The 17,184-nt window shown below is 41.0% G+C and overlaps 1 protein-coding gene across 36 annotated transcripts in view, besides 1 other annotated feature; it reads left to right on the top strand.

Moving 5' to 3' along the window:
• Positions 1–17,184, top strand: part of CLASP1 (cytoplasmic linker associated protein 1) — a 311,687-nt gene that overhangs the window by 85,226 nt on the left and 209,277 nt on the right. The gene's annotated exons all lie outside the window — the stretch shown is intronic.
• Positions 5,540–5,589: an enhancer, noted in NCBI's record as "active region_16466". NCBI's record gives its function as "activates an Ori minimal core promoter by ATAC-STARR-seq in GM12878 lymphoblastoid cells {active_cell/tissue: GM12878}" and the evidence as "EXISTENCE:reporter gene assay evidence [ECO:0000049][PMID:35858748]".

Raw genomic sequence — 17,184 nt, 5'->3', positions numbered from 1 at the left:
CCACCTTTTTTTGTTTTTCCTCATTGCCTTTAGCTAATCAGTGAATTCCTCATTTGGAATAATTACCTCATGAATGATGTGGTTTGGCTTTGTATTCCCACCCAAATCTTATCTCATAATTCCCACACATTGCAAGTGGGACCTAGTGGGAGATGATTGAATCATGGGGACAGGTCTTTCCCATGCTGTTCTTGTGATAGTGAATAGGTCTCACAAGATCTGATGGTTTTAAAAATGGGAGTTTCCCTGCACAAGCTCTCTCTTTGCCTGTTGCCATCCACGTAAGACATGACTTGCTCCTCCTTGCCTTCCCCCATGATTGTGAGGCCTCTCCAGCCATGTGGAACTGTAAGTCCAATAAACCTCTTTCTTTTGTAAATTGCCCAGTCTTGGATATGTCTTTATCAGCAGCATGAAAACAAATGAATACAATGAACTTTCATTTTCACCCCTTGCTCATTCTTTTTTGTTTATTTCTCCCAAATTTGGTTTTGCTTACTTTTGAAATTTGAAATCAGGATTAGATAAGAGTGGGAGGTAATATAAAAGAAGCTAATTTCCCCAGAGCTGAGAATTTGTTCCAAGTTCTCAGGGCCTTTTTGTTTTACAAAAAGTTGGAAGTTAAAAGAAATTAAAGCAGCAAATTTATTTTTGATTTCCATATCCTACCTCTAAGCTTTCTATGCTAGAACAAGTTAGCATATTTTTTAATAAGAGAATTCATTAAGTGTGTCGGCATGTTAATTTTTCATTTTTTGGCTAAAAGCATGGTATGTTTGAAAGCATGAGTGAAATTCTGGAATGGAAGAGGTGATGCTCAATCCAGACATGAGGTTTCTGCTGATTCTTTCTGCCTCCTCTTTAAAAGTGCTACTGGCCTTTGACAAAGTCTTGTTGCTTTATACATCTCCTTTTTCAATGTGATGTAGACTCTTTCAACAAATCATCAGGCGGTCGTTTCTTGACAGCCTGTTCAGCATAATATAAACTATCCTATGAAAAAAGTGGAGAAAAATCAAGTGCCCACTTATGTTATCCTTGAGTGTTGTGGTTAGAGGTCAGAGAAGGGAGAGAGAAGTGAAGGCTACTTGGCATTGGGGGAAGCCTCCAGTTGAGAAGAGATGCCTTGTACTTGATTTGAAAGGGGTCAGTTGGGAGGGAGGGCACACCTTAGGAGTGTGACACCAGATGGGGCAGGTACATTGCCCATCCCCAACCCCAGGAGCCTCAGCCAAGTGCCTCTGGGGAAGTGTCAGTCACGTGATTAGCTTGGCCTGTGTTGGGACTGTCATTGGGACTCAAAAAGATGTGTGCATATAACATTTTAAATTTAGAAGAGACATGAAAAATAATTTAGAACAACTTCATTTTACAGATGGAGGAACTGAAGCCTGGAAAGGACAGCTGACCTCCTTTCCAGATTCTGAAAGAATAAAATCGAAAGCAGGAGAGGGTTCTCTGTACCAGGCCACATCATTGAAAGACAAAACCTGAACAATAATAAAACCCCAGAGGACAAAAGCCAAGCTTAAGTGAAATTTGCCTGTTGTGCTTCTGTGCTTATGTTTGATCTCCTAGTAAATAATTGAAGAGTTTGAGGTAGTTCCCCAGTGGAAAGGTTTCTAGAATAGAGATTTGTCTGAAAATGTTCAGAAGAGCTGTTCAGTATTCTACTCAGTTGATTTTATGGAGGGAGTCATAGGACTCTCAGTGTTGGAGTAACTAGTTGTGTTGTAGCCTGTCATGGCTTTGGAGTGATTTGTTCTTTGCTGGATGACTAGATAAATCAGTAAAGACAGAATTCAGGAAAAGGGATGAGAGATGGAATGGGGAGGAGACTCAGATTTAAAGAATGCCTTGTGCTAGGCCACGTGCTGAGCATTTTCTATAAGTCAGTTCCCCAAGTCCTCTGAAGAACTCAAATCCTTCAGCACATGTTTGTTCCGCACAGGTTAGCAGTGGTCACAGGCAGGCCCTGAGGGTGGACTGCCTGCCCAGGTTCCTGTGCTGTGGCTGGCGCTGGGCTTTGCTCAGAGGAGTCAAGGAGAAGTCACTTGGCCCCAGCTCTAAGAAGACTTGCTGTCCAGGACAAAGATTGTCAAGCTGTTTCTCTAAGGTTCATAGTGAGAAATCCGTTTTATGTTGCAACCTGTAGGAACACATTAGTCCCACAGTCAGAAGTAAAACATTTCATCTCAAGAAAAACCACAGAAGACAAAGAATACTTGTCTAACATTAAGCCCTAACATAATGTAGTTTTGAGCCCCTTTCTTGTAAATTGCCAGATTCCCTAATGAAAACAGCTTTACCTCTGATTTTTGCAATCCTGATGCCTGCAGACATGTAATAACCCTTGTAGATAAGCCACTCAAAGGTAGGAAACTGATGATTTTCTTCAAGGGAGAATAGTGAGTGTATCAACTCTAACTTTGGCATTTCCTTTCCCCTTTAAATACTTGCACCATCCTTTATTTAGAGAGCCCAGTATTTCAGAAGGCCTGACTCACTTGCCCTTATCTCCATCTAAATCAAGGTTTCCAACCCCTGGCTCAGAAGCCCAGGACAGTTTTGAATGTGGTCCTACACAAATTCACAAACTTTGTTAAAACATTATGAAATTTTTTTGCAATTTTTTTTTAAGCTCATCAGCTGTCATTAGTGTTAGTGTATTTTATGTGTGGCCCAAGACATTTCTTCTTCCAGTGGGGCCTAGGGAAACCAAAAGATTGGATACTTTTGATCTAAATATTTGTCTTATTGTTCCATTTTGTCTCTAGTTTTTCTAATAGTGATCGTATGAGATCAGTGCACTGCAAGCTACTCTTTTTTAGTCACTGCAGTATTTAAGGTAAGAGAAAAGAAAGCTTTAAGATAGATTTTACAGTAGTAATTCTTTGCCTAGAATAATAGTCATGAGTCTTAATCCTGGTTCCCAGGTAGTTAAGGAGATATAGTTTCTAAAGATCAAACCTATAGTATACCTTTATTATTACTTTTTCAACTTTGTATTATGAAAATTGCAAAACATTGGGCTGCGTGTGGTGGCTCATGCCTGTAATCCCAGCACTTTGGGAGGCCGAGGTGGTTGGATCACCTGAGGCCAGGAGTTCGAGACCAACCTGGCCAACATGGCAAAACCCTGTCTCTGCTAAAAATACAAAAATTAGCTGGGCATGGTGGCCCATGCCTGTAATCCCAGCTACTCGGGAGGCTGAGGCAGGAAAATCACTTGAACCCAGGAGGCAGAGGTTGCAGTGAGCCAGGATCGTGCCATTGCACTCCAGCCTGGGCTCCGTCTCAAAACACAAAAAACAAACAAACAAAAAAAACAAAAATTAGCCAGTTGTGGTGGCAGGCTCCTGTAATCCTGGCTACTTGGGAGGCTGATGCAGGAGAATTGCTTGAACCTGGGAGGCAGAGGTTGTGGTGAGCTGAGATCGCGCCACTGCACTCTAGCTTGGGCGAAAACAAAAAGAAAATTGTGAAACGTACACAAAAGTAGAGAGAATGTTTTAATGAATCCATGCACCCAGCATTTAACTTCAAGGATTGTCAGTAACTTGCTGTTCTTGAAATGCCTGGTACTGATGTGATACCCCTTATTCCTAGAGGTGGAAATAACCGTGGAGCAGAGGGATGTTCTTGGATGTGGATTCATTCTCCACTTTGCAGAGAAAACCTAGACAGAAGACTGTCTTCCATTCCTTCCTGGCAGGCAGCTTCTGAGGGGATATGTGTGTTTAAAACTTAAAATGTTAAAAATTGTTTTAATTGTGGCTTTCTTAAATTTCGAATTTATGTGTATCTGTTGTGAAAATTCCTTAATACACACATGTGAAGCCCAAGGTGAAAATCCTATTCCCCAGCATACAAACACATTGCTCACAAACATTGCATGTAAGTTTTTAAGGAAATGCAGTCATACTATTCTGCATACTGTTCTGCAGCTTGCTGTTTTTAAAAACTTCATAACACAGACATCTTCCCATGTTAAATATACATGTAGGTCTAAATTATTCTTTCCTGTAGCTGCACTGTATTCTGTAGTATTCAAGTATAGTATGTTAAGTTTTTTCATTATCATTAAATTTTTTTTTTTTACTTTGAAGTGATTTAAGAGTTCCCATGTACATTTCACCCAGCTTCCCTTAGTGTGAGCTTCTTACAGTGCCATGGTACATTTATCAAAACTTAAGAAATACAAGGGACTTGGTACAACACTATTAATCAAACTACAGGTTTTATTTGGATTTCATCAGTGTTTCCACTAATGTCTTTTTTCTTTTCTTGGATCCAGTCCAGGATACCACATTTCATTAGCCATTGTAATGATGATGATGATAATGATGATGATGATAATTATTAAGGTACTAAAATATAATTTATATATCATGAGTTATAAAATTCACCATTTTATAGTTTACAATTAAGTGGTTTTTTTGTATATTCAGAGTTGTATGCTCATCACCACTGTCTAGTGTTTGAAGATTTTCATTGTATTAAAAGGGAACTCTATACCCATCAGCAGTTACTCCCCATCCTCTCTGTCCAAAGCTTCTGGCAACCAACTAATCAACTTGCTGTCTTTGGATTTTTTTTTTCTGTCTCTATTCCAGATATTTCATAAACTAGAATCATGCGATATGTGGTCTTTGGTATCTGACTTCTTCCATTTGTATCATAATGTTTTCAAGGTTTACCCACGTTGTAGCATGAATTCAGTACTTAATTTCTTTTTATTGCCAAATAATATTCCATTATGTAGGTATACCACATTTTGTCAGTTGTTGGATATTATGTTGTTTTCACTTTTTGACTATTATGAATAATACTGTTATGAATATTCATGTTTTTGTGTGGATGTAGATTTTTAAATCTCTTGGGTATATACCTAGGAGCTGAATGTATGAGACATATGGTAATTTTATGTTAAACATTTTGGGGAACTGCTAGATTGTTTTCCAGAGTGGCTACATTATTTTATAATCCCACCAATAATGTTTGAGGATTTCAGTTTCTCCATGTCCTTACCAAAAATTGTCATGGTCTGTATTGCTGTAGCCATCTTGGGTTTCTAAAGATTGAGCATTCTGCTGGGTTTGTCATGAGCCATGTTGTTTGCACATCTCATGAGGTGTGGTCCACACCTTCTTTCCCTCCATCACAGTGCCGTGGCTCTAAAAGTTTTCTGTGTGAATTCAGACAGGGGATGGCTTTCAGGTACTCTGTGCAGTTAACCGGGGTCTGCTGACAGGTGCAGTTCGGTGGATTGATTGTTCATAAAATATTCTTAAGGTTCCCAGGCCAGGTTGAAAGCTTCAGTTTGCAAGGTCATTCTTATGAAACATTCTGAACAGAACCATGAGAGAATCTGGCTCGCTCTGAAATTCTTTGTGATTTGGAGTCTGAGGCACTTGGGAATATATCACCTTAACTGTCACTTTCCCCCAATTGGCAGCAAGAGTGTATTAGTCCATTTTCTTTTGTTTATAACAGAATACCTGAAACTGGATAAATTATTGTAAAAAGGAATTTTTTTCTTATAGGCGTGAGGGCCAAGAAGTCCAGAGTCAAAGGGCCACCTCTGGTGAGAGCCTTCTAGCTGGTGGGCATTTTCTGCAGAGTCCCGAGGTGGTGCGGGTTATTACATGGTGAGGGGCTGTGAGTGCTTTAGCTCAGGTTTCTCTTCCTCTTCTTATAAAGCCACTAGTTCCACTCCCGTGATAACCCATTAATTCATTCATCCATTCGTGAAGACAGAGCCCTCATGACACAGTCCCTTCTTTAAAAGCCTCGCCTTTCAGTACTGCAGCATTGTAGATTAAATTTATAACGTGAAATTTGGGGGGGCACATTCAAACCATAGCAGAGATGCTTCCTAGGATGCCTGGAGGATTTCTTTTTTTCTGTTGCTTTCCCATTTTCAATCTGGGTGATGCTGCTTTCATTTTAGATTAGTGGTTTCTATGAGGGACAGGCCAGTCCATTGGGCTACGGGAAGAACATTATAGCTCCTTGTTAATATTTATTTTTCACCTTATTCTTTGAAGTTATTCTGTTTTACATATGCTTTATAACTAAATTTACATAACAATAGATTGTATGATTTATAAGTAAATACACATAATAGGTGTTCTTTTTTTTTTTTTTTCTTTTTGAGACGGAGTCTCACTCTGTCACCCAGGCTGGAGTGCAGTGGTGCAATCTCGGCTCACTGCAACCTCAGCCTCCTGGGTTCAAGCAGTTCTCTGCCTCAGCCTCCTGAGTAGCTGGGATTACAGGTGCCCACCACCATGCCCGGCTAATTTTAGTATTTTTAGTAGAGACGGGGTTTCACCATCTTGTCCAGGCTGGTCTTGAACTCCTGACTTTGTGATCCACCCACCTTGGCCTCCCAAAGTGCTAGGATTACAGGCATGAGCCACCGTGCCCAGCCTACACATAATAGGTATTCTTTTTTTTTCTTTTTTCTTTTTTTCCAAGATGAAGTATTACTCCATTGCCCAGGCTAGAGTGCAGTGGCGTGATCTCAGCTCACTGCAACCTCCATCTCCAGGGTTCTACAGTAGACTAAAAAGTTAGCAGAGCTTATGGTTGATTCTGTTCTTTCCACCCTCCATTGTTAATAGTTCTTTTATTTATTTATTTATTTAGAGACAGAGTCTCACTCTGTCGCCTAGGCTGGAGTGCAGTGGTGCGATCTTGGGTCACTGCAACCTCCGCCTCCCAGGTTCAAGCGATTCTCCTGCCTCAGCCTCCTGGGTAGCTGGGATTATAGGCACCTGCCACCACGCCCAGCTAATTTTTGTATTTTTAGTAGAGATGGGGTTTCACCATGTTGGCCAGGCTGGTCTCGAACTCCTGACCTTGTGATCCGTCCGCCTCAGCCTCTCAAAGTGCTGTGATTGCAGGTGTGAGCCACCAAGCCTGGCCACATAATAGATATTCTATGTAATCAAAAAGTTCAGAAGCCACTGCTTTAAGCTATCTACTGAGTGAAGAAAGGCACAAACAAAACTTATCATCTGAACTGATAACCAGGAAAGAGTAAGTTCTATCACGTGCTCTTGAGAAAGGCAGCAGTAGAAACCTAGGGCAGGGCCCAGCAACAGGGATTGATAACATTCGCAGTGAGCAGCACTGCAAAATAGGGAGAATGAAGAACAGAATTCAAACCACAGAGCTTGCAGAGTCTCAGAGACCACTAGTTTTAGTTTTGTAGACAGTTGCCCCGATTATGCAAGTATTAATAACACACCTAGAGTCATTTGGTAGCAGAACTAGGATGGAGGTCTTGTGACCTAGTACAGGACTGTACTACAGGTACTGCTGTTTGCATGGTGCTTTAGTTGTATTAGTTTCTCTTTATTTGTATTTTGGTATAACTTTTTAGCAGCAAGAAGTATGGGAGGGGAGATGCATGTCAGAAGTTGTTCATTCTTGTTCAACTTAATTTAGAACCCAACAGAAAGATATTTTTCCAGGTGAGCAATAAGGCCTGTCAGTGGGATTTGTTCATTTATTCAACAAATATGGTTCTAGACAATAGCAATGATAATCAGATGAATATTTCTGTCTTCATGGAGCTTATGTGTTACTTAGGGGAAGGAGCCAATAAGCATGTTAACAGTGAATTTTATGACATTTGAACAAAGACTTGAAGGAGATGCTGAAACAAGCTAGGTAGGTATCTTGGGGAAGAGCATTGCAGGCATACAGAGCACCCGGTGCAGAGAGCGGAAGGAGTCTGGCACATCTGATGAACAGCCAGGAGGCCAGTGAAGGGAGCGGGCAGGACCACTAGATAAGCTCAGAGAGGTAATGAGAGGTCAGATCATGAGGGCTTGTAGGCCATAGTAAGACTGGCTCTTACCCAAGCTGGGGAGCCCTTGGATGGTGTTGAAGAGAGGATTGAAATGATAACGACTTGCCTTTCAAAAGGACATTCTGTGGCTGGGCATGGTGGTTCACACCTATAATCCCAGCACTTTGGGAGGCTGAGGCGGGCAGATCACTTGAGGCCAGGAATGTGAGACCAGCCTGGCCAACATGGCAAAACCCTATCTTTATACAAAAAATACGAAAATTAGCTAGGCGTGGTGGTGTGTGCCTGTAATTCCAGCTACTTGGAAGGCTGAGGCCGAGAATTTGCTTGAACCTGGGAGGCAGAGGTGACAGTGAGCTGAGATCATGCCACTGCATTCCAGCCTGTCTCAAAAAAAAAAAAAAAAAAAAAAAAAAAAAAAAAGCGGTGGGTAGGGGGCAGGCGCCGTGGCTCACACCTGTAATTTCAGCACTTTGGGAGACCAAGGTGGGTGGATCACGAGGTCAGGAGTTCCAGCCTGACCAACATGGTGAAACCCCATCTCTACTAAAAATACAAAAAAATTAACTGGGCGTGGTGGCACATGCCTGTAATCCTAGCTACTCAGGAGGCTGAGGCAGGATAATCGCTTGAACCCAGGAGGCAGAGGTTGCAAGTGAGCCAAGATTGCATCACTGTACTTGATAGAGCAAGACTCTGTCTTAAAAAAGGAAAAAAAAGACATTATGCTTGTCTGTTAAGAGTAGACCTTGAGTGGGCTGGGATTGGAAGCAAGGATACAAGTAGGACAGAGTGATAATGTCTTGATGGCAGTCATTGTATTCAGGTTAGTTAATTGGAATACGTAGTTCATGATATTTACATTCTTTCCTGTTTGTCTTATTCACCTTCCCTCCATCCTCCTCCTCAAAATTTGCTATCATTATAGTTGATGCTGATGATAGATGAATAAAAACCTATCTTCTGGAAGGTTGCAGTCTAGACTCTTGGCATTAGAGAAATAGATGCTTTTAAAAATCAGAGGTCACAAATGAGCCTGACTGCTAGAACAGTATAATAGGTGGCTGGAAACACAACTTCTGTCTCAGGCTGGTGGATATTGGTGGGAGGCCACTGGAGTTGATGAGGCTTGAAGCGAGTCCTGAAAGAGGCACAAGAGCAGACAGCAGAGAGAACACACAGTGCTGCAGACGGGAGCATGCGAGAGCACAGCACATCCAGGAAAACTGCAGAGGATTCATGGGCCGCAGAGAGACCTGCTGAGGTTTGTGTGCAGCGTGAGCTCTCCAGGGAGTTCTTGACTCCATTAGGACTCTGGGTCTGCACAGACCGTGTTGCTTTCCACCCACAACTCTCAGTTCCTGACCCAGGGCCTTGCTTTCTTCCACAACAGCCGATATTTCTGGATAGAGATATAAGAAATACTTGTTTGGGGCAGGTATAATAAGTTCTTCTGTGCATGATTCAGTCACTAGGAGAATTGTTTTAAGCCTACTAACAGATTTTGCTTTTCTTAAATGGCTTTACTGAGATATAATTTATATACCATAAAATTTACCTGTTAAATGTACAATTTAGTTATTTTTAGTAAAATTACAGAGTTGTGCAACCATCTTCACATTTCTCTATCAGCCCAAAAAGATCCCTCATGCCATTTGCAGTCAACACTCACTTCTACCCCCAGCTCTAGGCAATGGTGTGTCTGTTTTCTGCTTCTACTGATTTGCCCTTTCTGGACATTTCCTATAAATGGGAACATATAATATGTAGTCTTTTAATCCAATTCCTTTTTTTTTAAGACAAGGTCAGGCAGGTATGCAGTGGTGCCATCTCAGCTCACTGCAGCCACGAACTCCTGGGCCCACGCCATCCTCCCACCTCAACCTCCTGAGTAGCTGGGACCACAGGCAAGTGCCACCGCTCCTGGCTAATTTTTTTTTTTTTTTTTTTTTTTTTTACTTTTTGTAGAGGCAGGGTCTTCCTATGTTGCCCAGGCTGGTCTCAAACTCCTGGGCTCAAGAGATCCTCCTGCCTTGGCCTTCCAAAGTGTTAGGATTACAGGTATGAGCCACTTCAACCAGCCTATCTGATTTATCGTACTTCACATCATGTTTTCATGCTTCATCTATGTCATAGCATGTGTCAATAGTTTGTTCTTCTTTATTGTTGTTATTTATTTCTTTTTAATTTATTTTTTGAGATAGGGTCTTGCTTTGTCGCTCAGGCCAGAGTGCAGTGGGTGATCATGGCTCACTGTAGCCTTGACCTCCCAGGCTCAACTGGTCCTCCCACCTCAGCCTCCAGTATAGCTGGGACTACAGGCACACGCCACCACACACATCTAAGTTTTTTTTTTTTTTTAAAGAGATGGCATCTCACTATGTTGCCTAGGCTAATCTTGAACTACTGGGCTTAAGCAGCTCTCCCATCTTGGCCTCCCAAAGTTCGGAAATTGCAGGTGTGAGCCACTGTCTGTAGCCTGTTGAGTGTTATTTTAATTATATGGATCTACCACATTTTGTTTATCCATTCATAATTTGATGGACATTTGGCCTATTTCTGCTTTTTGCCATTATGAATAATACTGCTATATGAATTATGACAGTATTTCATAATTATGCATTAATTCATAATTAATGATGAATAATTAAAGATACAAATCTTTATGTGACCATACATTTTTATTTTTTACTTATTTATTTATTTATTTTTGAGACAGAGTCTTGCTCTGTCACCAGGCTGGAGTGTAGTGACGCGATCTTGGCTCACTGCAGCCTCTGCCTCCCAGGTTCAAGCGATTTCCCTGCCTCAGCCAACCTAGTAGCTGGGACTACAGGCGCCTGCCACCATGCCTGGCTAATTTTTTGTATTTTAGTGGAGACAGGTTTCACCATGTTGGCCAGGATGGTCTCTATCTCCTGACCTCATGATCCTCCCACCTCAGCCTCCCAAAGTGGTGGGATTACAGGCGTGTGCCACCATGCCTGGCCCATTTTTCTTTTTAAAAAGTGCAGTACCTTGCTATTTTATTTTATTTTTAAATTTTATTTATTTACTTTTAAAGTTTTATTTTAGGTTCCAGGGTACATGTGAAGGTTTGTTACAGAGGTGAACTCATGTCACAGGGGTTTGTTGTACAGATTATTTCATCACCCAGGTATTAAGCCCAGTACCCAAAAGTTATCTTTTCTGCTCCTCTCCCTCCTCCCACCCTCCACCCTCAAGTAGGCCTCAGTGTCTGTTGTTCCCTTCTTTGTGTTCATGTGTTCTCATCATTTATCTCCCACTTACAAGTGAGAACATGCAATATTTGGTTTTCTGTTTCTGCATTAGTTTGCTAAGGATAATAGCCTCCAGCTCCATCCATGTTCCCACAAAAGATGTGATCTCATTCCTTTTTATGGCTGCATAGTATTCCATGGTATGTATGTACCACTTTTTCATTATCCAGTCTGTCATTGATGGGCATGTAGGTTGATTCCATGTCTTTGCTATTGTGAATAGTGCTGCAATTAACATACACATGCATGTGTCTTTATGGTAGAATGATTTATATTCCTTTGGGTATATACCCAGTAATGGGATTGCTAGGTCGAATGGTAGTTCTGCTTCTAGCTCTTTGAGGAATTGCCAGACTGCTCTCCACAGTGGTTTAACTAATTTACACTCCCACCAACAGTGTGTTAAGTGTTCCCTTTTCTCTGCAACCTCACCAGCGTCTGTTACTTTTTGACTTTTTAATAGCCATTCTGACTGTGTGAGATGGTATCTCATTGTGGTTTTGATTTGCATTTCTCTAATGATCAGTGATGTTGAGCTTTTTTTCATATGCCTACATGTTGGCTGCATGTATGTCTTCTTTTGAAAAGTGTCTGTTCATGTCCTTTGCCTGTATTTTAATGGGGTTGTTTTTTCTCTTGTAAATTTGTTAAAGTTTCTTATAGATGCTGGATATTAGACCTTTGTCAGATGCGTGGTTTGCAAATATTTTCTCCCATTCTGTAGGTTGTCTATTTACTCTGTTGATAATTTCTTTTGCTGTGCAGAAGCTCTTAAGTTTAATTCGATCCCATTTGTAAATTTTTGCTTTTGTTGCGATTGCTTTTGGTGTCTTTGTCATGAAAACTTTGCCCATTCCTGTGTCCAGGATGGTATTGCTTAGGTTGTCTTCCAGGGTTTTTATAGTTTTGGGTTTGACATTTAAGTCTTTAATTCATCATGACTTGATTTTTATGTATGGTGTAAGGCACGGTTCCAGCTTTAATCTTCTGCAGATGGCTAGCCAGTTATCTCAGCACCATTTATTGAATAGGAAGTTTTTTCCCCATTGCTTGTTTCTGTCAGCTTGTTGAAGATCAGATGGTCATAGGTGTGCAGCCTATTTCTGGGCTTTCTATTCTATTCCATTGGTCTATGTGCCTGTTTTTGTATGAGTAGCATGCTGTTTTGGTTACTGTAGTATAGTTTGAACTCAGGTAATGTGATGCCTTCAGCCTTGTTCTTTTTGCATAGGATTGCCTTGACTATTTGGGCTTTTTTTCTGGTTCCATATGAATTTTAAAATATTTTTTTCTAGTTCTTTGAAGAATGTCAGTGGTAGTTTTGATAGGAATAGCACTGAATCTGTAAATTGCTTTGGGTAGTATGGCCATTTAATGATACTGATTCTTCCTATCCATGGGCATGGGATATTTTTCCATTTGTTTGTGTCTTCTCTGATTTCTCTGAGCAGTGTTTTGTAATTCTCATTGTAGAGATCTTTTACCTTCCTGGTTCGCTGTATTCCTAGGTGTTTTATTCTTTTTGTGGCAATTGTGAATGGGTGTTCATTCATGACTTGACTCTCTGCTTGCCTGTTGCTGGTGTATACGAATGCTAGTGATTTTTGTATATTGATTTTGTATCCAGAAACTTTGCTGAAGTTGTTGATCGCTGAATGAGCTTTTGGGCCGAGACTGTGGGGTTTTCTAGATATAGAATCGTATTGTCTACAAATAGAGATAGTTTGACTTCCTGTCTTCTTATTTGGATGCCTTTATTTCTTTCTCTTGCCTGATTGCTCTAGCTAGACCTTCCAATACTATGTTGAATAGGAGTGGTAAGAGTGAGCATCCTTGTCTTGTGCCGGTTTTCAAGGGGAATGCTTCTAGCTTTTCCCCATTCAGTATGGTGTTGGCTGTGCATTTGTCATAGGTGGCTGTTACTTCGAAGTATGTTCCTTCAATACCTAATAACATGAAGGGGTGTTTAACTTTATTGAAAGCCCTTTCTGCATCTGTTGAGATAATCATGTGGTTTTGTCTTCAATTCTGTTTATATGATGAATCACATTTATTGATTTGCGTATGTTGAACCAACCTTGCATCCCAGGGATGAAGCTTATTTGATCATAGTGAATTAGCTTTTTGATGTGCTCCTGGATTTGGTTTGCAAGTATTTTGTTGAAGATTTTTGTATCGATGCTCATCAAGGATATTGGCTTGAGGTTTCTTTTTTTGTTGTGTCTCTTCTGGGTTTTGGTATTAGTATGATGGTGGCCTAGTAGAATGAGTTGGGTAGGAGTCCCTCCTCCTCAAGTGTTTGGAGTAGTTTCAGTAGGAATGGTATCAGCTGTTCTTTGTACATCTAGTAGAATTTGGCTGTGAATTTGGTTGGTAGGCTTTTTATTACGAATTCAGTTTTGGAGCTCATTATTTGTCTGCTCAGGGAATCAGTTTCTTCCTGGCTCAGTCTTAGGAGACTGTATGTGTCCAGGAATTAATTCATCTCTTCCAGGCTTTCTAGTTTGTGTGCATAGAGGTGTGCATAGTAGTTTCTGATGGTTTTTATTTTTATGGGGTCAGTAGTAACATTTTCTTCATCATTTCTAATTGTGTTTATTTGGATCTTCCCTTTTTTCTTCTTTGTTAGTCTAGCTAGCAGCCTATTTATCTTATTAATTTTTTTTTAAAACCTCCCGGATTTGTCGATTTTTTAAAAATTGTTTTTCATGTCTCGATTTCCTTCATTTCAACTCTGATTTTGGTTATTTCTTGTCTTCTGCTAGCTTTTGGGTTGATTTGTCCTTGCTTCTCTAATTCTTTCAGTTGTGATGTTAGGTTGTTAATTTGAAATCTTTCTTTTTATGTTGGCATTTAGTGCTATGAATTACTGTCTTAACACTGTCTTAGCTGTGTCCCAGAGATTCTGATATGTTGTATCTTTGTTCTCATTAGTTTCAAAGAGCTTCTTGATTTCTGCCTTAATTTCTTTATTTACCCTAAAGTCTTTCAAGAGCATGTCGTATAATTTACATGTAATTGTATGATTTTCAGTGATTTTCTTGGTCTTGACTTCTATTTTTAATGTGCTGTGGTCCAAGAGTGTGTTTGGTGTGATTTCAGGTTTTTTTTTTTTTTTTTTTTTTGAGACGGAGTCGTGCTCTGTCACCCAGGCTGGAGTGCAGTGGCACAATCTTGGCTCACTGCAAGCTCCACCTCCCAGGTTCACGCCATTCTCCTGCCTCAGCCTCCTGAGTAGCTGGGACTACAGGCACCCGCCACCACGCCTGGCTAATTTTTTTGCATTTTTAATAGAGACGGGGTTTCACCATGTTAGCCAGGATGGTCTCGATCTCCTGACCTCATGATCTGCCCGCCTCTGCCTCCCACAGTGCTGGGATTACAGGCGTGAGCCACCACGCCAGGCCTTTTTTTTTTTTTTTTTGCAGAGGATTGTTTTATGTCCAATTATGTGGTTGATTTTAGAGTATGTGCCATGTGATGATCTGAAGCATATATATTCTGTTATTTTTGGGTGGAGAGTTCTGTAGAGATTTATCAGATCCATTGGTCTAGTGTTGAGTTCCGGTCTTGAATATCTTTATAAATTTTCTGCCTTGATGATCTGTCTAATATTGTCAGTAGAGTGTTGACATCTCCCAGTATTATTTTGTGGGAGTGTAAATCTCTTTGAAGGTCTCTAAGAACTTTCTTTATGAATCTGGGTGCTCTTGTGTTGGGGTGCATATATGTATTTAGGATAGTTAGGTCGTCTTGTTGAATTGAACCCTTTACCATTATGTAATGCCCATCTTTGTCTTTTTTGATCTTTGTTGTTTTAAAGTCTCTTTGTCTGAAATTAGGATTGCAACCCTGGCTTTTTTCTGTTTTCCATTTGCTTAGTAGATTTTCCTCCATCCATTTAGTTTGAGCCTATGGGTGTCATTGCATGTGAGATCAGTTTCTTGAAGACAGCATACCATTGAGTCTTGCTTTTTTATCCAGCTTGCCACTCTGTGCCTTTTATGTGGGGGCATTTAGCCCATTTACATTCAAGGTTAGTTTTATATATGTGTATTTAATCCTGTCATTGTGTTCTTAGCTGGTTATTATGCTGTCTTGTTTGTGTGGCTGCTTTATAGTATCGCTGGTCTGCATATTTAACACTGGTTTGTGTTTTTGCATTTGTTGGTAGTGATCTTTCCTTTCTACTATATTAATACATTTAGTGCTCCTTTCAAGATCTCTTGTAAGGCAGGTCTGGTGGTAACGAACTCCTTCAACATTTGCTTATCTGAAAAAGGTTCCTATTTCTCCTTTGCTTAAAGAGCTTAGTTTGGCTGGATATGAAATTCTTGGTTGAAGATTTTTTTTTTTTTTATTTAAGAATGTTGAATATAGGTCCCCAATCTCTTCTGACTTACAGGGTTTCAGCTGAGAAGTCTGTTGTAAGCCTGACAGGGTTCCCTTTGTAGGTGACCTGCCCTTTCTCTCTAGCTGCCTTTAACATCCTTTCTTACATTTCAGCCTTGGAAAATCTGATGATTATGTGTCTTGGGGGTGATCTTCATGTGTAGCATCTTGCAGGAGTTCTCTGTATTTCCTGAATTTGACTTTTGGCTTCTCTAGCAGGGTTGGTGAAGTTTTCATGGATGATACCCTGAAATATATTTTGTAAGTTGTTTGCTTTCTTCTCCCTTTCAGGGATACCAATTTTTCATAGATTTGGCTTCTTTACATAATCCCATACTTCTTGAGATTTTGTTCATTCCTTATTCTTTTTGTCACTATTTTTGTCTGACTCTTATTTCAGAGAGCCAGTCTTCAAGTTCTAAGATTCTTTCTTCAGCTTGGTTTATTCTGCTGTTAATACTTGTCATTGCATTGTGAAATTCTTGTATTGTGTTATTCAGCTCTGTCAGATCCTTTAGGTTCTTTTTTATGCTGGCTATTTTGTCCTTCAGCTCCTGTATCATTTTATTTTGGTTCTTACTTTCCTTGGATTGAGTTTTGCTATTCTCATGAATCTCAGTGATCTTGGTTCCTATCCATATTCTAAATTCTATTTTTGTCATTCAGCCAGCTCAGCCTGGTTAAGAACTCTTGTTGGAGAACTGGTGTGGTTGTTGGGAGACATATGACAGTTACTGGAGTTCTTGCATTGGTTTTTTGCTTGTCTCTAAGTCTGGGTGTTCCTTTAACTGCAGTGTAGATTGAGTACAGTCAAGTGACTGATTTGCTGGATGTTTTCACAGGGCTGAGTCTTTGTTTAGGGTCTTTGAAGCTGACTTCTTGTTTTTGGTTTCAGAGGGTGGTACGTTAGTGAGGTATTTTTGGTGTTGAAGCTTTGGGTTGTGATCTGGTATGTGGCACGTAGGCATACTGGTCATGGTACACTCTTGCTTGGTTGTGTGGCTCCCCCGTATTTCCTCACAGTTGCAGCCGTGTTCCCTCTCAATTCTCAAAAAGCGTGGGTTTCTCTCCACCTTGAGTACTGGCTATAGATCGCAGCTTGGCATTCCCGAGCTGCCCATTGCAGCTCTGGGACAATCTCAGTGTTTATGTTTTTTTTCCAGTTTGGGGGCAGCAGAGGAAGGGACCTTAGTAGTGGTTGTGGCCGAGGGTCATTTGATTGTCTCCTGTGGGCTCCACCCCAGAGACATGCAGGTCAGCAGTCACTCAGTGCAATCAGCTCAGGATGGAGGGTCTTCGCTGCGAGCCCAAGCTGGGGGTTCCCTGCCTGGTGAAGAGTAGGGGGGTGGGTGGGCCCTTGGGAGACGGACTAGCCTCCCCTCCTTGTTGGAGGTGTGGATAAGGCAGTTAGGGTCTGTGCTTCTTTGTTAGTCCGAGGGTAGCAAGGGCAGTTCCACCGCAGCGGCAGTGGCAGAGAGGCTTTCAGTTGCCATGTGGTCTCTGTCCAGGGAGTTGCTGAGTTGCTACTGGCTGGATAGCTCTGGTAAGGGGGTGGCTGGAGGCCCAGGCCTGGAGGACCTGCCGATGAGGAGATGTGGGAATGGGTACCCACATAACCGTCTGGCCACTTTTCTGTAGGGCTGCTGCAATATGTTGGGGGTCCACTCCAGTCCCAGTTGCCTTGGA

The sequence above is a fragment of the Homo sapiens genome, chromosome 2 (assembly GCF_000001405.40).
Source record: "Homo sapiens chromosome 2, GRCh38.p14 Primary Assembly".
Lineage (NCBI taxonomy): Eukaryota > Metazoa > Chordata > Mammalia > Primates > Hominidae > Homo > Homo sapiens.
The sequence above is the reverse complement of the archived record's forward strand: the minus strand, read 5'-3'. Positions and strand labels throughout refer to the sequence as shown.